The sequence below is a fragment of the Homo sapiens genome, chromosome 3, assembly GCF_000001405.40.
Source record: "Homo sapiens chromosome 3, GRCh38.p14 Primary Assembly".
NCBI classification, from domain to species: domain Eukaryota; kingdom Metazoa; phylum Chordata; class Mammalia; order Primates; family Hominidae; genus Homo; species Homo sapiens.
The window spans coordinates 6574436-6599649 of NC_000003.12; the positions used below are offsets into that span (position 1 = coordinate 6574436).

The 25214-nt window shown below is 33.8% G+C and overlaps 1 long non-coding RNA gene across 19 annotated transcripts in view; it reads left to right on the top strand.

The window, feature by feature from the left end:
• LOC105376944 (uncharacterized) overlaps positions 1–25214 on the top strand; it is a 246298-nt gene that overhangs the window by 83994 nt on the left and 137090 nt on the right. For 2 of the 19 annotated variants that reach the window (NR_188700.1, NR_188696.1), the window contains exon 2: positions 3610–3702. The exons of the other annotated variants lie outside the window; for them this stretch is intronic. This is a non-coding gene — a long non-coding RNA (uncharacterized LOC105376944). The remainder of the gene's footprint in view (positions 1–3609; positions 3703–25214) is intronic. 19 annotated transcript variants of the gene reach the window in all.

Sequence of the window (25214 nt, forward strand, 5' to 3'; positions counted from 1 at the left end):
AGGGGAGGTCTCACACTTTCCTGGGTTTTACCTCTAATCATCCCACCCAGTTTTTAAGATGAAGAAATGAGACAAATACCCTTCTGTTTCAGCCAGAGATAGGGAATGAATAACCATTTTTAAATAACCCTAGGGGAAATTTTATTATTTTGAGATATTGCCAGAACATTCTTCTTAACAACAGCCTGCCCTCCATGGGAAACTGAGTTATCTAACCCTTACCTGACTTGGAAGAAAGGGTATTACACAACTCCAACATCTTCTAGCCTTGTGGTCTTACGTAAAAGAGGAAGGAAAGGCTAAAAGATGCCTATGGATTTTCTGGACTGACATCAGCAAGATGATGAACTATTAATAGTAAGCTCCAGGCACCTTGTTCCCTCATAAAAACATTAAAACAAAACAAAACAACTAAAACTGACTTAAATAACGTTGTAGGAATGCTGAAAAGGTGAATGATTTACAACAACCAATCAAATGTCCAATTAAGAAAAAATGACATTTAGAATGATAGAAAATTCTGTGGAGTTTTTACTACCTACTCCCACTGCACAAGATCCACCCTGGCCCAGTGTGGGAGAAATAGCTGTCCAGCTTCCGATTTCCTCCTTCAAACTGGAGGGAGCAAAGAAGACTTTATTTGCACTGTTGAAATCTTTCTAGGGAATGCCTGAAAGATGAGTCTCTATTTTTCCTCCCTCTGAACTCATTTGGGGAAAAGCTGCATATCTTGGGTCTCAGGCTGGGAAAAGTCATGCAAAGTAGCTTTTGAAAACTTCAGGAGGTGTACAGACCCACAGATGCCTGGGGCAAGATTTTTTTGTGGAGGGATATGATAGCATATCTACAGACCCAATATAAACCAGGAGTGGGACTCTTTGGAAAATTAAGATATTTAATTTATGCCATATATTGGTGTACATTTTTATTTTTTTGAGATAGGGTCTTGCTCTGTCACCCAGAACAGAGTACAGTGGCCTAATCATGTCTCACTGCATCCTCAAACTCTTGGGCTCAAGCAATCTTTCTGCCTCAGCCTCCCAATGAGCTGGGACTATAGGCATACACTATCACACCTGGCTAACTTTTTAATTTTTTTGTAGAGATAGGGTTTCACTATGTTGCCCAGGCTGGTCTCCCAACTCCTGGGCTCAAGCAGTCCTCCCACCTTAGCCTCCCAAAGTGCTGGGATTGCAGGGGTGTGAGCCACCACACCAGGCCTATACTAGAATAAATTTTAGAAAGCACACATGCAAGCCCAGGGAATACATATGCTCAGAAAAGGACTGAGAAGACCTTTAAGACTTTATTCTGGGGAGATGTCAAGGTTCAGAACATTTCCTGCTAATTAGTAAAGGTCTTTCCTGACAGTCTGAAAAGATTGATAAAATACTTTTTTGCAATGTCTGAATTTCAGCAAAGATCACAAGACATACAAAGAAAGAGAAAAAGATTGCCTATTCAATGGAACAAAATTAATCTCCTGAAACTAATCCTAAAAAAACAAATCATTGCACATTCTAGAGAAAAACTTTAAAACAACTCTCCAAAAATTGTTCAAAAACAAAAGGAAAACATGGACAATGGACAGAGAACCAAAGGAAATAAAAAAAAATTACGTATCAACAAAATTAGAATATTAATAGAATGATAGAGATTATAAGAAGAAATCAGGCTGAGCACAGTGGTTCATGCCTGTAATCCCAGTACTTTGAGAGGCCGAGGTGGGCAGATCACTTGAGGTCAGGAGTTCAAGGCCAGCCTGGCCAACATGATGAAACCCCATGTCTACTAAAAATACAAAAATTAGCTGGGCATGGTGGTGCAAGCCTTTAGTCCCAGCTACTGGGAAAGCTGAGATGGGAGAATCACTTGAACCTAGTAGTTGGAGGTTGCAGTGAGCTGAGATTGTGCCACTGCACTCCAGCCTGGACGACAGAATAAGACCCTGTCTCAAAAAATAATAATAATAATAAACAAAAATTAAAAAGGCACTAAAGAGAAATTCTGAAGCTGAAAAGTATAATAAATTGAAAAAGTCATTAGTGGGGATTCAACAGCAGACTCAGACAGGCAGAATAAGGAGTTAGCAAACTTAAAAACAGTTCATTTGAAATTGAGCGTGAGGAGAAAAAAGAAACAAAGTGAAAAAGAGCCTAATGAAATTATAAGACACTGACAAATGGACCAATATATGAATTATAGAAGTCTCAAAAGAAGATAAAGAGAACAAGATGGAGAGACTATTTGAAGGAACAAAGTAGAAAACTTCTGAAATTGGAGAAAGAGCATGAATATACAATGTCAATAACTCAATGAAGTCTAAGTAGAATAAACCCAATGAGATCCATGCTGAAACATATTATAATGTAATTGCTGAAATCAAACAGCAGAAAATCTTGAAATTGGCAAGAGAAAAATGACTCATCATGTTCATGGGATCCTCTGTAAAATCATCAGTAGATTTCTTAGGAGAAACCTTAGGGGACAGGACACAGTAGGATGATATATTTAAGGGGCTGAGAGAAGGAAAAAGAAAGAAAAAAAACTTCGTCAACTGAGAATTCTATATCTGATAACAAAATATTTCTTTAAAATATTCCTTATTTTAAATGAGGGAGAAATTAAGAGACTCAAGAAAAACAAAAGTTGAGGGAGTTCAGTACTATCAGGGCTGGATTACATACAATAAATGCTAAATTGAGCCATTTTAGTTCATATAAATGGATGCTAGACAGTAGCTCAAAGCCATACAAAAATCTAAAATTCTCTGGTTAAGCAATATATATGAACAAATATAAAAACCAGTATTTTTGTAATTTTGGTTTTAACTCTTGTGTTTTATTCTTCCACAGGATTTTAAAAAACAAATGCATAAAAATAATCATATGCTTAAGTTTATGTGTAGACAATTTATAAATATGTAATTTGGGGTATCAAAAACATAAAGGGGAGATGAAGCTTAAAGTTGTGCAATTTTTGTATGCCATTGAAATTATGTTGGTATGAATTAAAATAGATTGTTATAACTCTAAGATGTTACATGTAGTACCCATGGTAACCACATAGAAAATATATATGGAATATACACAATGAAAATGAGAAAGAAATAAAAATGTGTCACTAGAAAAAATGAACTGAACACAAAGGATAGTAGTAATTAAAGCAATGAGAGGCATAAAACTATAAGACACAGAAAACAACAAATTGACAAAAGTAAGTTTTTCCCTATCAGTAAATACTTTAAGTTCAAAGGGATTAAACCCCCTATGATGGTTAATTTTATGTGTCAACTTGATCAGGCTAAGACATGCTCAGATAGCTGGTGAAACATAATTTCTGGGTGTGTCTGTATTAATGTTTCTGGAAGAGATTAGCATTTGAATCAGTAGACTGAGTAAAGAATATCTGACCTCACCAATGTGTGTAGTGTTGGTTCAATCTGTTGAAGGTCCAAATAGAACAAAAGGGTAGAAGAAGGGTGAGTTCTCTCTGTCTATCTTCTTGAGCAAGGAAGCCATATATCTTCTCCTACCCTTGGACATTGGAGTTCCTGGTTCTTGGGCCTCAGACTCCAGGACTTATACAATTGGTTCTCCTGGCTCTTAGGCTTTCAGACTTGAACTGAATTATACCACCAACTTTCCTGATTTCCCAGTTTGCCAACAGCACATCACAGGACTTCTCAGCCTCCACAACATTGTGAGTTAATTTTCATAAGTCTCTCTCTCTCTCAATCTCTGTGTGTGTATGTGTGTGTGTGTTTGTATGTGTGTGTTTGTATCCTATTCAATTTATTTGGAGAATCCGGACGAATACACTCATACACAAACGATATAGATTGCTATAATAGATTTAAAAAAATCCAATTATATGCTGTCTACAAGAGATTCAATTCGGATCTAAGAACGTTCAAACGTTCATAGGCTAAAAGTAAAAATAAAGATAAAGGTTATTTTATGCAAATAGTAACAAAAAGAGAGCAATGGTGGCTATACTGATATCACACAAAATAAACTTTAAGTAGAAACTGTTATGAGAAACAAAGAATGTTCTATATTGATTAAAAAGGTAAATTCAGCAAGAAGATACAACAAATATAAACAGACAGTATTTCTGTCTTGCCTATGGTTTTGCTTTTCATGGTCTCAGTTACACACAGTCAACCATTGTCCAAAATTATTAAATAAATTCAGAAATAAACAATTCATAAGTTTTACATTGTGTGCCATTCTAAGTAGTGTGATGAAATCTCACTCTGTCCTGTTGTGTCCTGCCTCGTATGTGACTCATCAGTTTTTTCTACTGTTTCCATGTTGTATATATGCTATCTTCCCATTAGTCACTTAGTAGCTGTCTCAGTTATCAGTTTGAAAAAAATATTAAATATGGAGTTCAGCACTATCCATGGGTTTGAGGCACCAACTGGAAGTCCTGAAACATGGCTGTTTCAGTTTTCAGATTGAAAAAAATATTAAATATGGAATTCAGCAGTATCTGTGGGTTTCAGGCACCCACTGTTAGTCTTGAAACATAGCTGTCTCAGTTATCACATTGAAAACAATATTAAATATGGAATTCAGCACTATCCATGGGTATCAGGCATCCACTGGCAGTCTTGAAACATAGCTGTCTCAGTTTTCAGATTGAAAAAAATATTAAATATGGAATTCAGCAGTATCTATGTGTTTCAGGCAACCACTGTTAGTCTTGAAACATAGCTGTCTCTGTTATCACATTGAAAACAATATTAAATATGGAATTCAGCACTATCCATGGGTTTCAGGCATCCACTAGGAGTCTTGAAACTTATTTTCTGCAGATAAGAAGGAACTCTTGTATATGCACTAAATATCAGGTCATAGATACGTGAAGCAAATGTTGACAGAAATGAAGACAGAAATAGATAGATCTACAATAAGAGTAGGATACATCAATGTCACACATTCAATAATGAATAGAACAAGACAGAGGATCAATAAAGAAGTAAAAGACTTAAATTACATTATATACCAATAAGATTTAATAGAATATAAGGAATGCTTTGCCCAGCTATAACAGGATATATTGTATTTCCCCAAAAGCACATGGAATGTTCTCCAGGAGAGACCATTTTTTAGGCCAAAACCCAAGTCTTAATACATTTTAAAAGACTGAATCATACAAACTGTCTCTTTTTGACCATGTGAAATAAAACTATAAATTAACAGCAGTAGGACTATTGGAAAATACACAAATATGTAGAAATTGGGCAATACAGTCTTCAGCAACCAACAGGTCTCATAAGAAATCCTAAGAGAAATTCGACAATATCTTTGGTCAGATGAAGATGTGAATACAATATACCCATACATATGGCATGTAGCACTGAAATGCTTAGAGAACAATTTATAGCTATACATTATATTATATTAAAAGAGAAGAAACACCTGAAATTAACAATGTAACTTTATGCTTCTAGAAGCTATTTAAAAAATTAAACCCAAAGCTAGGAGACAGAAGGAAATATAGCCTAGAAAAGAAATGAATAACATAGAGAATAGAAAATAATAAAGAAAATCAATGAAAATAAGAATTGATTCTTTGAAAAAATCACCAAAATTGACAAACTCAGACTGAGTAGAAAAAAAACCCGAGAGGACTCAAATTACTAAATTCAGAAATTGAAGTTGTGGCATCACTACCAATTTTACAGAAATAAAAAAAAATTAAAAGATTACCCCAGGAGAGGGCTGTATTACTATCTCTCTCTCTCTCTTTCTCTCTCTCTCTCTCTCTTTATATATGTATATATGATATATTTATATATATTTGTATATATTATATATATTTATTTATGTATATATATATAGTAATGCATATATTACTCTCTTGTATTACATATCAACAAATTGGGTAGCCTAGATGAAAATAGACACATTCTTAAGAACATACAACCTAGATTGACTCAAGAGGCAATAGAAAATCTGAATAGACCTATAGTTATATAGTAGTAAGATTAAATCAGTGTTCTAAAACTTACCAAAAAATAGCCCATAACCAGATACCTTCACTAATGCGTTCTACCAAACATTTAAATAAAAATTAATATCAATCCATCTTAAAATCCTTTAAAAAATTGAAAAGGAGAGAACATTTCCTAACTCATTCTCTGAGGCCATCATTGCCCTGATGCCAAAGTCAGAAAAGGACACTACAAAAAACTATAGACCAATATCCCTTAAGAGTATTGATCCAAAAACCCTTTAAAAAAGTAGCAAACAGAATTACACAGTCCATTAAAGAAATTATATACCACAACCAAGTGGGATTTATTCATGGAATGTAAGAATGGTTTAACATATACAAATTAATCAATTTATTACATCACATGAAGAGAATGAAGGGACAAAATACAGATAATCATTTTGATTAATGAAGAAAGGCATTTGGCAAAATTCAATGCCCTTTCATGATAAGAAGCCCTAAAATAAGAATAAAATAAAACTATTTCAACATAATAAAGACCATATATGAACAATGCACAGCTAACATCACACCAAATGGTGAAAGACTGAATGCGTTTCTTCTAAGATCAAGAACAAGGCAAGGTGATGACTGTTTCAACGACTTCAATTCAACATTGCAGTAGAAGTACTAGGAAAAAATCCTAGAAGGAAAAAAACTATAGAAAAGTGGCAAGATATAAGAGTAATATTCAAAACTCAATCATTTTCCTATATACCAACCAGAAACAATTGGAATTTCATTCAAAAACAATTAGAATGAAAAAGTTATAGTATTTGGTAGCACAATAGGATGGCTATAGTTAACAATAATTTATTGTATATCTTAAAGTAACTAAAAGAGTGGAATTGAAATGTTCCAATACAAGGAAATGACAAAGGTTTGAGGTGATGGATATTCCAATTACTCTGATTTGATCATTACACATTGTATGCCTGTGTGAAAACATCATATGTTTTCCATTAATATATGCAACAATTATGGATCCATAATAATTAAAAATAAAAATAAAAAAAACTTTATATTAATATGCAAAATATGAAATATTAAGTATAACTGCAACAAAATATTTACAGGATCTGTATGAGGAAAACTACAAAGTTCTGATGAAGGAAATCCAAGAAGATCTTAATAAATTGAGAAATTTTATTTACATGAGTAATAAGACTCAGTATTATCAAGATTTCCGTTCTTCCCAAGTTCGTCTACAGATTCAACACAATCTCAGTTAAAATCCCAGCCAGTTAATTTGTGAATATTGACACACTAATTATAAGGTTTATATTGAAAGGGAAAATAGCCAGAATAGTCAACACTGTATTAAAGAGAAAAACAAAGTCAGAAGGCTGACACCATCCAACTTCAAAACTTATATAAAGCTGCAGTCAACAAGTCAACATGATATTGGCAAAAGAAAAGACAAATAGATAAATGGAATAGATAGCCCCCAGATAGACCCATACAAATATAATCAATGGATCTTTGACAAAAGAGAAAAGGCATTTCACTGGAGAAAGGATAGTCATTTCCACAAATGGTGTGGAACAACTGGATATTTATATGCAAAATATCTAGACACAGACATCATATATTTCACAAAAACTAACTCCAAATGAATCAGAAACATAAATGCAAAACACAAAACAATGAAACTTCTAGAAGATGCCACAGGAGAAAATCTAGATGATGGCTTTGGTGATGTCTTTTTTGATATAACACCAAAAGTACCATTTATTAAAGAAAAAAATTGGTAATTTGGACTTCATTGAAATTAAAAACTTCTGCTCTGAAACGACACTGTTAGGATTGTGAAAAACAAATCAGACTGGGAGAAAGTATTTTCAAAATACTATCTGATTAAGAACCTGTATACAAAATGTACAAAAAACCTCTTGAAACAAAAAGAAAATAAATGACCCAATTAAAAAATGGACAAAAGATCAGAACAGACACCTCCCCCCCAAAAATATACACATGATAAAGAAACATGAAAATATGTTCAACGTCATAGGACATTAGATAATTGCAACATCAAACAATAAGATACTATTACATACCTATTGACTAAAATCCCCAAAACTGGTAATACAAAATGCTAATACGGGTGTCATGCAGCAAGGACACTCATGAATGCATGAGCAATGGCCAGTGGGAATGTAAAATGGTCGCTTTGGAATTCCTTTTAGCAGTTTCTTACACAGCTAAACATGGTTTTACAATATATTCCAGCAACCATTTTCCAAGGTGTTTACCCAATTGAGTTGAAAACATAACCATACAAAAACCTACACGTGATTTCTTAGAGAAGATTAATTTATAAGAATAGAAAACTGAAAACAATCAAGATGTCCTTCAATAGGTGAATGGATAAACAGACTATGGTATACCCATGCAATGGAATATTATTCAGTGATAGAAGAAATGAGTTACCAAAGAACAAACACGACAAGGAGTTTGAAACCTTAAGTGTATATTGTTATGTAAAAAGTCAGCCTGAAGAGATTACGTGCTCTATGATTCCTACTATATGGTATTTTGGAAAAAGCAAAGCTATAGATACTGGAAAGATCAGTGGTTGTGGGTAGGGGAATGGTAGTTAAAAGAGAGAGGGCTGAGTATGGAAAGCACAGGGAATTTTTAAAGTGATGAGCCTATTATTATTCTTCTAATCCAATATGAGTGGCAAAATTGTTCCTTCTGATACTGTAATGGTATACAAATGATGATATACATTTGTCCAAACCCATAGTAATATTGCACTTTAGTTAATAATGATTTATCAATATTGGTTTATTAATTGTAACAAATATACTATACTAATGTAACAGGTTAATGTGGGGGAAATTGCTGGAGGGAGGGGAATATATGGGAAATCTTTGTACTGTCTGCTCAATTTTTCTGTAAATCTAAAATTGTTTTAAAAAATAAAGTTTACTAATTTAAATAAAAGGCACCAGTGACAATAGAGTGTAATTGAGTAAAAGATACATTAGGATTAACTTATTATGCATATTTTCACAGAAATATTTTCAGACTTTGTCTTAATCGGTAGACATAATGCCCCAAACTATGATTTTCTGCTTGAACAGTACAATTTCCGACAAACTTGCAGTTGCAATTTTAGTATAATCTCTGCAATGTCATGTTGGCTTTTTAAAATTTTTACTGATCTATTTGTCTCTGGGTATAGGAAATTAACTGTTCACTAAGAAGCAGAATGATCTTCACTGGAACAACGAAACAACGGATGATCTGCCTTTAATAGGATAAAAGCCAGTATTTGCAAATATAAAATACTATTTTGAGATCCTTGTGGAGTTCATTTTTGTGTATGGTCAGAGGTTATTGTCAGTGTTCATTTTTTGCCATATAGATACCTGGTTGTTCTACCATTTGATGAAAGGTATTATCATGTCCCCATTGAATTACCATGACACTTTGTCAAATATCACTTGACCCTATGTATGAAGGTATATTTCTGGCCTCTGTTTTGTTCCATTGATCTTATGTGTATCACTGTGCCAATATAACCCTACCTTGATTACTGAATCTTTACAGTATATCTTGATATCGTCTAGGGTAAGTGATCTAAATGTATACTTTTGTTTCTAAGTATTTTTGACTTTGGTTCTTTGAGTTCTCCATATACATTTGATAATCAGTTTGCCAAATTTCTCAAAAAGCCCTGCTGGATATTGAATGGAATTATATTGAATCTAAATATCAGTTTGGAGATAACTGACATCTTAATAATACATCTTCCAATCAAATGCATACAATATATCTCATTTATTTAGATAGGTTTGCTTTAATTTATTTTAGCAATGTTTGCAGTTATCTGTTCAGTATTTTATTTAAATTATTCCTAAATATTTCTTGATTTTTGATGCTATGGGAAACAGTGTATTTTATTTTTTTCATTAATCATTACTTTTGTAGAGAGAGACAATGGATTTTTATATGTGAAGCTTATATGCTGCGACCATGACCACGCTAAACTCACTTTTTAGTTCTGATAAATTTTTTTGTACATTTCATAGGATTTTTGGCATACATAATTGTGATTATGTCACTTATAAATAAAGACAATATTACTTATTTATTTCTAGTCTGCCTGCCTTTTTTTGCCTTATTGCATTCACCTGGATCTCCATTACAATATTTCAACAGTAGTAAATATGATGCTCTTATGTTTTTCAGTCTTTTAGGAGTGAAGTGTTTGTGTTCATCACTTAAAGTGGTTCCAGTGATGGTTCCATGGTAGAGACTCTGTCAGTTTGAGGAAGGTATCTTTTTTGCACAGTTTGTTAAAAGGGTTTTTTAAAATCATAAATGGACATTGAATTTTGGCTTATGTTTTCTTTGCTTCTACAGAGTGATCAAATTTCTTCTTCACTTTCTTGAATTATATGTATTGAATTATACGTATCGATTTCTTTGTAAATTATGTATATTGATTTCTCATGTTTATTAAATCTTACATTCCTGGGAGAAGTCATACTTTAATATGATATAATTTTTTAAGTATTGTTGGATTTAATTAGCTAGTATTTTGTTAAATATTTTTGTGCCAGTGCTAATGAGAATTTTGTTTGTACTTTTCTTGTAATATTTTTCTCTACTTTTATTATTCTGGCCTCTTAAAATGAATTACAAAGTGTTTCCTCCTTTATTTTCTAAAAGTGTTTGCGTAAAATTAGTATAATTTCTTCACAAATCATTTCTAAAAACCAACAATAAAAACACCCTGGCTTTTTGTTTTTTACAGTAAGGTTTTTGATAAATAAAAATTCTTTAATAAACATAAAAACTATTCAGATTTTCCTGATTTCTTGAGGAAGGTTTTGTTTTGTTTTGTTTTGTTTTTTGAGACGGAGTTTCGCTCTTGTCACCCCGACTGGAGTGCAGTGGCGCTCTCTGGGCTCACTGCAGCCTCTGCCTCCCAAATTCAAGAGATTCTTGTGCCTCAGCTTCCCAAATAGCTGGGATTACAGGCGCCCGCCACCATGCCGGGTTAATTTTTGTATTTTTAGTAGAGACGGGGTTTTACCATGTTGGCTAGGCTTGTCTCTAACTCCTGACCTCAGGTGATCAGCCCGCCTCGGCTTGCCAAAGTACTGGGATTACAGGCGTGAGCCACCGCGCCCGGCCTTGTGGAAGGTTTTCTAAGTATATTTTTCATGAAATTTAGCAACTTCATCTATGTTGTCAAATTCATAGATATAAAGTTATGCATAATATGGTATTATCGTCTTAATAGCTATAGGATCTGTGATAATATCTTTCTGGTATTAATAATTTATCATTTTATCTCTTTTTCTATTAGTCTTGCTCAGAATTTCTCAATTTTATTAGTAATCTAAAATATGCAACTTTTGTATTCATTGTTTTTAATGGCTTATCTTTTTGCTTTAATTCATTAATTTTTATTTGTATTATTATTCACTTCCTACTGCCAATTTTTACAGCTTATTAAATTGGAAACTTAAATTATTAATTTTGCCTTTTTTATTTCTAAGCACTTAGAGTTATAAATACAGCTTTGGCTGCATTCCACAGATTTTGATATCTTGTGATGTTGTTTACATTAAGATCAAAATATTTTTCCAATTTCTCCAGGAGTATCTGTTTTTTGACCAATTGATCTTTTTTGACCTATTGCTTATGTAGATATTTTGTTTTGTAAGTTCCCATTATTTAGTGCTTTTCCAAATATCTGTTTTCTACTGATTCTTAATTTAACACATTGTGGGCAGAGAATGGATTCTGTAAGATTTCAATCTTTTTGAATTTATTGAGATTTATTTGATGGCACAGCATGTGGTCTATCTTGGTGAAATTTCATGTGCACGTGAAAAACATGCATAAGTTCTGTTGCTGTTGAGTGCAGTGTGCCAACTACATACATCAGCTCAATTAGGCTGATTTTAAGTCTTCTATGTACTTACTTATTTTCAGTCTACTTATCCATTTGATGTTTTTCAAGTTTTTAAAACACTTCCTTATTTTCTGCTTACTTTTTATATCAATTATATGTGGGTAGAAAGATCTAACTGTAGTTGCAGGTTTATCTATTGATTCTTTTAATTTTGAGCAGTTTTGCTTAATATATTTGCTTCATATATTTTAAAGTATTATTAGCAGGTGCACACATATTTATAATTGCTATGTATTTTTGATAATTTTACACTTGTATCATTTCTTCTGAAATATTTCTTATCTGTCAATATTATTTGTCCTAAAATATATTTTTTTGATATTTACACAGCCCTTCATTAGCACAATGTATCTTATGTCTTTATGTTTACTTTTAATATATCTCTGTTTTTACATTTAAAGCCCCTTTCTTGTAGACAATATATAATTCAATCTTACCCTTTTATTTAATCTGATACTCTCTGTTGTTTATTTGGAACATTTAGACTACTTAAATGTAATTATTGATATAGGCGGTTTTAAAATCTCACACCACATACAACAGTTAACTCAAATGGATTATAGATATGAGTTTAAAAAATTAAAAGTAGAAAATTTCTGAAAGAAAGCATTCAGCAAAGATTTCTTAAAATAGGGTATAAAGAGTAAACATGACAGTGGAAAAAAATCAGCAGTTTGAACTTCAGAATTAAAAACTTTAGTCTTTCAATAATCACTCATAAGAAGCTATCAAGGGAGTAAAGAGACAGCCTACATCATGGGAGGAAATATTTGCAAACAATACATCTGACAAAGGTCTAAGACCCATAATCTATAAAGTACTTAAACAAATCAACAAGCAAAAAAGAAATAACATCATTAAACAGTAGGCAAAGGATATGAACAGACACTTCTCCAAAGAAGTAATACACACATCCAACAAACATGAAAAAAATGCTCATCATCACTAATAATCAGAGAAATGCAAATCAAAACCACAGTGAGTTACCATCTCACACCAGTCGAATGGCTTTTGTTAAAAAGCCAAAAATAACAGATGTTGATGAGGCTGCAGAGAAAAGGAAATAGTTACAAACTTTTGGTTGGAATATAAAATAGTTTAGCCACTGGAGAAAGCAGTTTGGAGATTTCTTGAGGAACAGAGTTGAACCACTATCTGACCCAGCAATACTGTTACTGGGTATATACTCAAAGGAAAACAAATTGCTCTACCATAAAGACACATGCACTCTCATATGTTCACTGCAGCACTCTTCATAATAGCGAAGACATGGAATAAATCCAAATGCCCATCAATGGTGGATGGGATAAATATATATGACGTTTTCATATATATACACCGTGGACTACTATGCAGCCATAGAAATTGAAATCATGTCCTTTGCAGCAACATAGATGCAGCTGGAGGCCATTAGCCTAAGCTAACTAAAGAAAAAATAGAAAACCCAATGCCGCATATGGGACTTAGATATTGAGAGGGAGAGGGACGGGGCTGAAAAACTACCTATTGGGTACTGTGCTCACTGCATGGGTGACAGATTAATTTGTACTGTAAACCTCAGCATTGTGCAATATACTCATGTAACAAACCTGCACATGTACCCCTGATTCTAAAATGAAAAAAGTTGTCACTCTTGCAAAAATGAAACGGCAAGCCATGATCTAGAAGAAAATATCTATAAAGCAAAATATCTGACAAAGTATTTGTATTTAGATTATATAAAGACTCTTAAATTTCAATACCTCTTTTAATAAAAAGTGGATGAGAGCTCTGAACAGACACTTCACCAAAGTTGATATTAGAATGGTGCACTAGGAAATGAATATATATGCTTTCATTAGAAAAATACAAATTATAACTGCAATGAGGAATCACTATAAACCAATTCTAATGTCTAAAAAGTTAAAGACCAATCAAACCAAGTATTGGAGAAAATATGGAGCAACTGGAAAACACTCTTCAGGATATTATCCAGGAGAACTTCCCCAACCTAGCAAGGCAGGCCAACATTCAAATTCAGGAAAAACAGAGAATGCCACAAAGATACTCCTCAGGAAGAGCAACTCCAAGACAAATAATTTTCAGATTCACCAAAGTTGAAATGAAGGAAAAAATGTTAAGGGAAGCCAGAGAGAAAGGTCAGATTACCCACAAAGGGAAGCCAATCAGACTAACAGCGGATGTCTTGGCAGAAACTCTATAAGCCAGAAGAGAGTGGGGGCCAATATTCAACATTCTTAAAGAAAAGAATTTTCAACCCAGAATTTCATATCCCCCCAAACTAAGCTTCATAAGGGAAGGAGAAATAAAATCCTTTATAGACAAGCAAATGCTGAGAGATTTTGTCACCACCAGGCCTAGCTTACAAGAGCACCTGAAGGAAGCACTAAACATGAAAAGGAAAAACCGTTACCAGCCACTGCAAAAACATGCCAAATTGTAAAGACCATTGAGGCTAGGAAGAAACTACATCAACTAACAAGCAAAATAACCAGCTAAGATGATAATGACAGGATCAAATTCACACATAACAATATTAACCTTAAATGTAAATGGGCCAAATGCTCCAATTACAAGACACAGACTGGCAAATTGGATAAAGAGTCAAGACCCATCAGTGTGCTGTATTCAGGAGACCCATCTCACGTGTAGAGACACACATAGGCTCAAAATAAAGGGATGGAGGAAGATCTACCAAGCAAATGGAAAACAAAAAAAGCAGGGGTTGCAATCCTAGTCTCTGATAAAACAGACTTTAAACCAACAAAGATCAAAAGAGACAAAGAGGCCATTACATAATGGTAAAGGGATCAATCCAACAAGAAAAGCTAACTATCCTAAATATGTATGTACCCAATACAGGAGCACCCAAATTCATAAAGCAAATCCTTAGAGACCTACAAGAGACTTAGACTCCCACACAATAATAATGGGAGAATTTAACACCCCATTGTCAACATTAGACAGATCCATGAGACAGAAAGTTAACAAGGATATCCAGCAATTGAACTCAGCTCTACACCAAGCAGACCTAATAGACACCTAATAGACGTCTACAGAACTCTCCACCCCAAATCAACAGAATATACATTGTTCTCAGCAACACATTGCACTTATTCCAAAATTGACCACATACTTGGAAGTAAAGCACTCCTCAGCAAATGTAGAAGAATAGAAATTATAACAAACTGTCTCTCAGACCACAGTGCAATCAAACTAGAACTCAGGATTAAGAAACTCACTCAAAACTGCTCAACTACATGAAAACTGAACAACCTGCACCTGAATGACTACTGGGTACCTAACAAAATGAAGACAGAAATAAAGATGTTATTTGAAACCAATGAGAACAAAGACATAACATACCAGAATCTCTGGGACACATTTAAAGCAGTGTGTAGAAGGAAATTTATAGCACTAAATTCCCACAAAAGAAAGCAGGAAAGATCTAAAATTGACACCCTAACATCACAATTAAAAGAACTAGAGAAACAAGAGCAAACACATTCAAAAGCTAGCAGAAGGCAAGAAATAACTAAGATCAGAGCAGAACTGACAGAGATAGAGACACAAAAAACTCTTCAAAAAATCAGTGAATCCAGGAGCTGGATTTTTGAAAAGATCAACAAAATTGATAGACCGCTAGCAAGACTAATAAAGAAGAAAAGAGAGAAGAATCAAATACACACAATAAAAAATGATAAAGGGAGTATCAGCACCGATCCCACAGTGATATAAACTACCATTAGAGAATACTATAAACACCTCTACACAAATAAACTAGAAAATCTAGAAGAAATGGATAAATTCCTGGACACATACACCCTCACAAGACTAAACCAGGAAGAAGTTGAATCCCTGAATAGACCAATAACAGGCTCTGAAATTGAGGCAATAATTAAGAGCCTACCAACCAAAAAAAGTGCAGGACCAGATGGATTCACAGCCAAATTCTACCAGAGGCAAAAAGAGGAGCTGGTACCATTCCTTCTGAAACTATTCCAATCAATAGAAAAAGAGGGAATCCTCCCTAACTCATCTTATGAGGCCAGCATCATCCTGATACCAAAGCCTGGCAGGGACACAACAAAAAAAGAGAATGTTAGACTAATATCCCTGATGAACATCGATGCAAAAATCCTCAATACAATACTGGCAAACCATATCCAGCAGCACATCAAAAAGCTTATCCACCATGATCAGGTGGGCTTCATCCCTGGGATGCAAGCCTGGTTCAACATTTGCAAATCAATAAACATAATCCATCATATAAACAGAACCAAAGACAAAAACCACATGATTATTTCAATAGATGCAGAAAAGGCCTTTGACAAAATTCAACAGCCCTTCCTGCTAAAAACTCTCAATAAATTAGTTATTGATACAATATATCCCAAAATAATTAGAGCTATGTATGACAAACCCACAGCCAATATCATACCAAATGGGCAAAAACTGGAAGCATTCCCTTTGAAAACTGGCACAAGACAGGGATGCCCTCTCTCACCACTCCTATTCAACATAGTGTTGGAACTTCTGGCCAGGGCAATCAGGCAGGAGAAAGAAATAAAGGGTATTCAATTAGGAAAAGAGGAAGTCAAATTGTCCCTGTTTGCAGATGACATGATTGTATATCTAGAAAACCCCATCGTCTCAGTCCAAAATCTCCTTAAGCTGATAAGCAACTTCAGCAAAGTCTCAGGATACAAAATCAATGCGCAAAAATGACAAACATTCCTATACACCAATAACACACAAACAGATAGCCAAACCATGAGTGAACTCCCATTCACAATTGCTTCAAAGAGAATAAAATACCTAGGAATCCAACTTACAAGGGATGTGAAGGACCTCTTCAAGGAGAACTACAAACCACTGTTCAACAAAATAAAAGAGGACACAAACAAATGGAAGAACATTCTGTGCTCATGGATAGGAAGAATCAATATTGTGAAAATGGCCATACTGCCCAAGGTAATTTACAGATTCAATGCCATCCCCATCAAGCTACCAATGACTTTCTTCACAGAATTGGAAAAAACTACTTTAAAGTTCATATGGAACCAAAAAAAAGCCTGCATTGCCAAGTCAATCCTAAGCCAAAAGAACAAAGCTGGAGGCATCACGCTACCTGACTTCAAACTATACTACAAGGCTACAGTAACCAAAACAGCATGGTACTGGTACCGAAACAGAGATATAGACCAACGGAACAGAACAGAGCCCTTAGAAATAATATCACCCATCTACAACCATCTGATTTTTGACAAACCTGACAAAAACAAGCAATGGGGAAAGGATTCCCTATTAATAAATCATGCTGGGAAAACTGGCTAGCTATATGTAGAAAGCTGAAACTGGATCCCTTCCTTACACCTTATAGAAAAATTAATTCAAGATGGATTAAAGACTTAAATGTCAGACCTAAAACCATAAAAACCCTAGAAGAAAACCTAGGCAATACCATTCAGGACATAGGCATGGGCAACGACTTCATGTCTAAAACACCAAAAGCAATGGCAATAAAAGCCAAAATTGACAAATGGGATCTAATTAAACTAAAGAGCTTCTGCACAGCAAAAGAAACTACCATCAGAGTGAACAGGCAACCTACAGAATGGGAGAACATTTTTACAATCTACCCATCTGACAAAGGGCTAATATCCAGAATCTACAATGAACACCAACACATTTACAAGAAAAAAACAAACAACCCCATCAAAAAGTGGGCAAAGGTCATGAACAGACACTTCTCCAAAGAAGACATTTATGCAGCCAACAGACACATGAAAAAATGCTCATCATCACTGGCCATCAGAGAAATGCAAATCAAAACCACAATGAGATACCATCTCACACCAGTTAGAATGGCGATCATTAAAGAGTCAGAGGATGTGGAGAAATAGGAACACTTTTACACTGTTGGTGGGACTGTAAACTAGGTCAACCATTGTGGAAGACAGTGTGGTGATTCCTCAAGGATTAGAACTAGAAATACCATTTAACCCAGCCATCCCATTACTGGGTATATACCCAAAGGATTATAAATCATGCTGCTATAAAGACACGTGCACATGTATGTTTATTGTGGCACTATTCACAATAGCAAAGACTTGGAACCAACCCGAATGTCCATCAATGATAGACTGGATTAAGAAAATGTGGCACATATACACCATGGAATACTATGCAGCCATAAAAAAGGATGAGTTCATGTCATTTGTAGGGACATGGATGAAGCTGGAAACCATCATTCTCAGCAAACTATCGCAAGGACAAAAAACCAAACACTGCATATTCTCACTCATAGGTGGGAATTGAACAATGAGAACACTTGGACACAGGGTGGGGAACACCACACACCGGGGCCTGTCCTTGGTTGGGGGGAAGGTGCAGGGATAGCATTAGGAGATATACCTAATGTAAAAGACGAGTTAGTGGGTGCAGCACACCAACATGGCACATGTATACATACACATGTGCCCTAGAACTTAAATTAAAAAATAATAAATAAGAAGAGAATCATGAACAATGTATGTTTTTTAAGTTACTGCATTTTAGAATGTTTGGTTGCACAGTATCTAACTTTCACAGTTAGTGAAATATGGAGCAAAATTTAATCCCTCTAAAATTTTCCTAATTTACAAAATGGACCTTGGAAAACTGGTACCACTTGTACATGTCAACTAATTCATGCTTTCAGTAAGGATCAAAGGAAGTCATATGCAAATGCCCACTAAAAACTATAAGATTAAAAAATTACCTTTTTGGTGCACAACCTTTAATGGAATACTTATCAATAATATTGTTGGGATATATTGGTGTTTAGGTTCTGAAATTTGAGATTCACATTTTGTTGACTTTACCTTGAGTTTCTTTTATATAAATGATGCCAGTCATAAGATAAGTAAAATAAGCTAGAATAATCATTCAAAGTAAATTTAAATTGTAAAGAGAAACAAAACTATTGTGCTATATTCTATGTCAAAAATGCTAATAATAATATAATCATTTGGGGAGTGTTATATTACTAAAAGATAGCAATTCAATAATTAGAACCTTCCTAAGACTGAAGGGTAGAGTGTGAAAACTATAAATATTATCAAGGGATCTGAACGCTAGGACTTTTCATCAAATTTATTTTAAATGGGGCAAACACTTGCCTGAAAAAATTTTTATACAGTTTTATAAGCTTATATAAAATGACATCGTTTCTATTTCAAAGACAAATTTAATTTTTCATTTAACATTTGATTGTCTTTATTTTAACATTATAAATTGACAGTTTTTAATTGTGTATATTTATGGAATAAAAAGATGTTATGATTTATGAATACAATGTGAAATAAACTATAGTAGTTAACATATTTATCAACTCAAGTACTTAACATTTTTGTGGGGAGAACATTTGAAGTTTTCTCTCACCTATTTTGTAATAATATAGTAATAATATGGATAATAATATGTACAATTACCTATTAATATTGTACCTATTATTACCTATATTCACCACACTGTGAAACGTATCTTTAAAAAATCCTTCCTGTCTGAGATTTTGTACCATTTGATCATCATCTTTCCATTCTCCTTACTCTCCAGTCCCTGTAACCACCATTCTTATTCTCTGCTTCTATGAGTTTGATTGTTTTAAATTCCACATACAAGTAAGCACATAGAGTACTTGTCTTTCTGTTGCTGGCTTACTTCACTTAGCATAATGTCCTTCAGGTTAATCTACATTGCCTCAAATGACAATTCCCTTCTTTTCTAAGGCTAAATAATATTTCATTGTGTGTATATACAGCATTTTCTTTATCCATTCTTGGCTATTGTAACTAGTGCTGTAATGAACATCTGATTGCAGACATCTTTACAAATAGATTTTAAATATTTTGGGTAAATATAAGTGGGAATGTTGGATCATATAGTAATTCTACTTTTAGTTTTTTTGAGAAATTTCCATAGAACTTTCCAAAATGCCTGTACTAATTTGCAATTCTACCAACAGTGTACAAAGGTTCCCTTTTCTCTACATCCTCACCCAAACTTATCTTTTATCTTTTTGATAATAGCCATTCTGACATGTTTGAGATTATATCTCATTGTGGTTTTAATTTAAATTTCTCTAATAATTAGCAATGTTGGGCATTTTTCCATAGGTCTGTTTGGCTTTTGTAGGTCTTCTTTTGAAAAATGTCTGTTGAGGTCCCTTGCCCTTTTAAAAATTGGTTTCTTTTGTTTTGTTTGATTCCCATTGAGTTGTTTGAGCTCTTTATATATTTTGAGTACTAACTCATTATCGAATACATGGCTTGAAAATATTTTCTCCCAATCCGTAGGTTGTCTCTGCATATTGTTAATTATTTACTTCGCAGAAGATTTTTAGTATCATGTAATCCCGTTTGTCTATTATTGCTTTTGTAGCTTGCACTTTCAAAGTCAAATAAAAAAAAAGTTATTGCCCAGATGATTTTTTCAACATTGCATGGTTTTTCATCTGTTTTCTTCCAGTAGTTTTACAATTTCTTGCCTTACAATTAAGTTTTTAATGTATTTTGAGTTGATTTTAGTGTATGATATTAGATAAGGGTTCAGTTTTATTCTTCTATATGTGGATATTTAATTTTCCCAATAAAATTTATTAAAGAGCCTATCCTTTTCCCATTGCAAATTCTTGCCACTTTTGTAGAAAATTAATTGATATGAATGTGTATATTCACTTCTGGGCTCTGTATTCTCCTTTATTAGTCAATGTGTCTATTCTAAACAGTACCATGCTGTTTTAATTTCTATAGTTTTGTAGTATAGTTAGAAATCAGGTGTATGATACCTGCAGCTCTGTTGTTTTTGCTCATGATTGCTTTTGCTTTTTGTTTTATTTGTGGCTCCATATAGATATTAAGATTGTTTTTCTATTTTTATGAAAAATGATAATGGAATCTTGATAGAGATTTCATTAAATCTGTAGACTGTTCTGGAAAGTATGAATGTTTCAATAATGTTTACACTTTCGATCCATGAGAAAGGGATATCTTTTCATTTTTGTGAATTCTTTAATGTCTTTCATCAACATTTTATAACTTAATATACAGGTCTTTTGCCTCCTTAGTTGAATTTATTCCTAAGTACCTTTTTATAACTATTGTAAATAAAATTGTTCTCTTGATTTCCTTTTTAAGTAGTTTGTTGTTAGTATATACAAATGCTACAAATTTTGTGTGTTAATTTTGTTTCCTGTAATTTTGTTGTACTCATTTGTTCTCATAGTTTTTTGGTAGGGTCTGTAGGATTTTCTTTTTTTAAGATCATGTCATTAGCAAACAATGACAGTTTCACTTTTTTCTTTCCTGTTTGTATGACTTTTATTTTTATCTCTGGCAAGGACTTTCAGTAGAAGTAGCTTTGAAGTAGGACTTTGAAAATAGAACTTTGAATAGATTCAGCAGGAACATACATCCTCATCTTGTTCCAGGTATTAGAAGAAAGGCTTTTGATTTTTCACCACTGAATGTAATGTTAGCTGTGGGCTTCTTATATATAGCCTTTGTTATGTTGAAGTATATTACTTCTATACCTAATTTGGTTAGAGTTTTTATTTTGAAAGTATGCTATAATTGTCAGATTTTCTATGTCTTCATGATTCAGTCTTGGCAAGTTGTATATGTCTAGGAATTCATTTATTTATTCTAGGTTATCCAATGGGATGATGTAATTGTTCACAGTAGTTTCTTATGATCCTTTGTATTTCTGGATTACTAGTACAAATGTCTCATCTTTCATTTCTGATATTATTTATTCCAGTCCTGTTTTTTTTTTTCTTAGTGTAGCTAAAGGTTCCTCACTTTTTGTTTATCTTTTCAAAACACAACTCTTAGTTTTGTTGAGCTTTGTGTTGTTTTTCTGGGCTCTATTTCACTTATTTCTGCTCTGATTTTTGTTATTTTTTTCCTTCTTCAGACTTTGGGCTTGGGTTGTTTTTCTTTTTCTCATTCTGTTAGGTGTAATGTTAGCTTGTTTATTTGAGGTCTTTTTTCTTTTTAGATGTGGGGATTTATTGTTATGAACTTCCCTTTTAGATCTGATTTTGATGTATCCCCTACATTTTGCTATATAATATTTTCATTTTTATTTGTATCAAGATGCTTTTGCAGTTTCTCTTTTAATTTATTTATTGACCCATTTGTTGTTCAGAAAATTCCTTTTATTACTGTTTCTAATTTTTATCATTGTACTTAAAAATAATATTTGATATCATTTTGCTATTCTTAAATTGGCTGAGGCTTGTTTTGTGCCCTATCATGTAATCTGTCCTGGAGAATGTTCCATGTGTGCTTGAGAAGAATGTGTATTCTGTTGTTGTTGGGTAAAATGTATGCATGTCCGTTTGATCTACTTGGTCTAAAATGTTGTTTAAGTTCAGTATCTCCTTATTAATGTTTCCCTACTGAAAGTGGGATATTGAAATATCTTACTAGTATTTAATTGCAATCTATCTCTCTCTTCAAATCTTCTAATATTTGTTTTATATATTTAAGTATTCTGATATTGAGTGCATATATATTTACAATGGTTGTATCTGTTTGATGAATAGATCCTTTATCATTATATAATGCCCTCCTATGTCTTTTTTTTAATGTTTTTGGCCCTAAGGTTTATTTTTTATTATGTTAGTATAGATGCCCATGCTCTTTTGGCTTCTATTTTCTTGGAATATCTTTTTTCATACCTTCACCGTATTAATCTGTTCTTACACTGATAATAAAGACATACCTGAGACTCAGTAATTTATAAAGGAAAGAGGTTTAAGGGACTCACAGTTTCACATAGCTGGAGAGGCTTCACAATCATGGTGGAAGGCAAAGGAGAAGCAAAGGCATGCCTTGCATGGTGGCAGGAAGAGAGCATGTGCAGGAGAACTCTCCTTTATAAAACTATCAAATCTCATGAGATTAATTCACTATCACAAGAACACCGTGGGAAAGGCCCATGTCCCATGATTCGATTTTCTCCCACTGGGTCCTTCCCACAACACATGAGAATTATGGGAGCTATAATTCAAGATGAAATTTGGGTGGAGATACAGGCAAACCATATCATTCACCTTCAGTCTATGTGTATCCTTAAAAGGGAAGTTAGTCTCTTACCGGCAGCATTTCATTGAGCCTTGTTTCCTTTATTTGTTTCAATCCAGTTGCTCTATGTCTTTTTATTAAATAATTTAATTTTTTTTACACTCAACATATTATTGATAGGGACTTACAACTGCCATTTTGATAATTGCTTTCTGGTTGTTTTGTAAATACTTTTTTTCTTCTTCTATGGCTATCTTCCTTTGTAGTTTGACGGTTTTCTGTAGTAATATGCACAGAACGCTTTGTTGTTGTTTTGTGCTTCTAATAAAGATTTTTGCCTTGCAGTTATCATGAGGCTTACATAGAATGTCTTATAGCTATAGCAGTCCATTTCAAGCTGAAAAAACTTAACTTTGATTGCATACCACAACTTTACACTTTTACTTTCCTCTGCTTCAGATTTTATGTTTTTGATGCTAGAATTTCCATCATTTTGTGTCTTGTATCCCTGAGCATTTATTTTAGCTATAATCATTATTAATAGTTTTGTCTTTTAATCCTCTTCCTAAGGATACAATTGCCTTATGTAACATCTTTACAGGCTTACATTTTTCCAATTATGGTTGAACTTCCCATTTTGCTCCTGAAGGCAACCAGCTCATTTTTGCAGATAGGCTGCAAAGTTGGCTGGTATCTGCAATAGAATGCCACAGCTGGCACTACCAGAAGTACAAGATCTGCATACTGGTCACTATGTGACCTTTGCCTTCTTTTTTTGTTTGTTTGTACCTGACTCCTGGTGGTCTGTTCCTGCTGTTTCCCCTGGTGTTACCCACGAGGTGAGTTTGAAGTGGGCTTTCTGGGAAGCATCTTGAAGTGCTAGAGAAGCTAGATGACTGCCTTCAGTTCTTTTTCCCACTTTCATAAATTGCGGACCCAGGAAAATTCTCTCTGTCTGATGTTTTGCCAAATTGGAGGAGCAGCACTGTTGGAGTGAGACTTTTCTTCTTACCTTTCTAATTCAGACTTTCTTCAGTTCTGCAGACCCAATAGGTGTCTCAGGCTTCTTTCCAAGTAGTGGGTTTTCAAAAATATCGTCTGATCTGAGCTAGTTGAAGTTTCTGTGATGGGGAGTGGCATCTGAGACTTCCTATTCTGCCATTGTGGTGATATCACTTCTTTATTTTTTTTTTCTGAGACAACTTTATATATGCTTCACTTGCTACTTTCTATACAAATAATGAACACCATACGAAAATGAAGTCTTCATGCTTTTGTTTAAAGATAAAGGGTTTAAGCATCCTGGTTGTAAATTAAGTTTAGAGGGATACTTGGCATTTGCATAGCCTGTAACACTTAAAACATGCTTCAACCCATTAAAAGCTATTAATTTGTTATAATGTAATGATAACATAAGAAGCTATTGACAGGAAAAATAAGAGATCAGTCAAATTTACTTTCCCAGTTCCATATAGCAAGTAGAATTTACTGAAGAAAGTAATTTAAACCTATGTATATTGATTATTCCAGAATTTTTCTTTGCCAGCAGGCTGTGTTCAGTCTTCTTATACTCATTTTGATCAATTGATCAACAGAAATAATTAAGTTTATAATACAAACATTATACTTTTCTGTGCTAAGTGGAAGTAGAGGATGGAATTGAGGTCCCTGACTTCAAAAAGATCCACATCTTATGGGGATAGAGGGTGCAACATGAGAAATCACACAGTGATGTTGTACATGTTATATATAGCCAGGAGGGGACTGGCTGTACTAGGCAAAAAATTTCTGCCTAGAAAACTTAAGAGAAAGTGTGCCTTTACCATTTCCTCTCTCTCTCTCCCATCAGCCAACTAGATGTGAGTCTCTAAAATAAATTTAGTAGTTATATGTCGACGAAAGAGTCTCTGCCACCCTCACTGACTTGCATTGGACTGATTTGACCCAGGAATAAATATATTTTGCTAAACCACTGATATTTTGGAGTGATTTATTGTAGCTGCTCATATGCCCTGACTAATTCCTAAACATACTCTAGTCACTCAAAAAAAAAATTTACTAAGCACCTACTAGGAGGCAAGCACAGTGCTAAGAACATGAGGGTACAAGGGAGAACAAGATAGACAAGAGTCTTCATTTTCAAAGCATACATTGTAGTGTGGGAGACACACAAGAAACATGTATTTAAATAATGATAA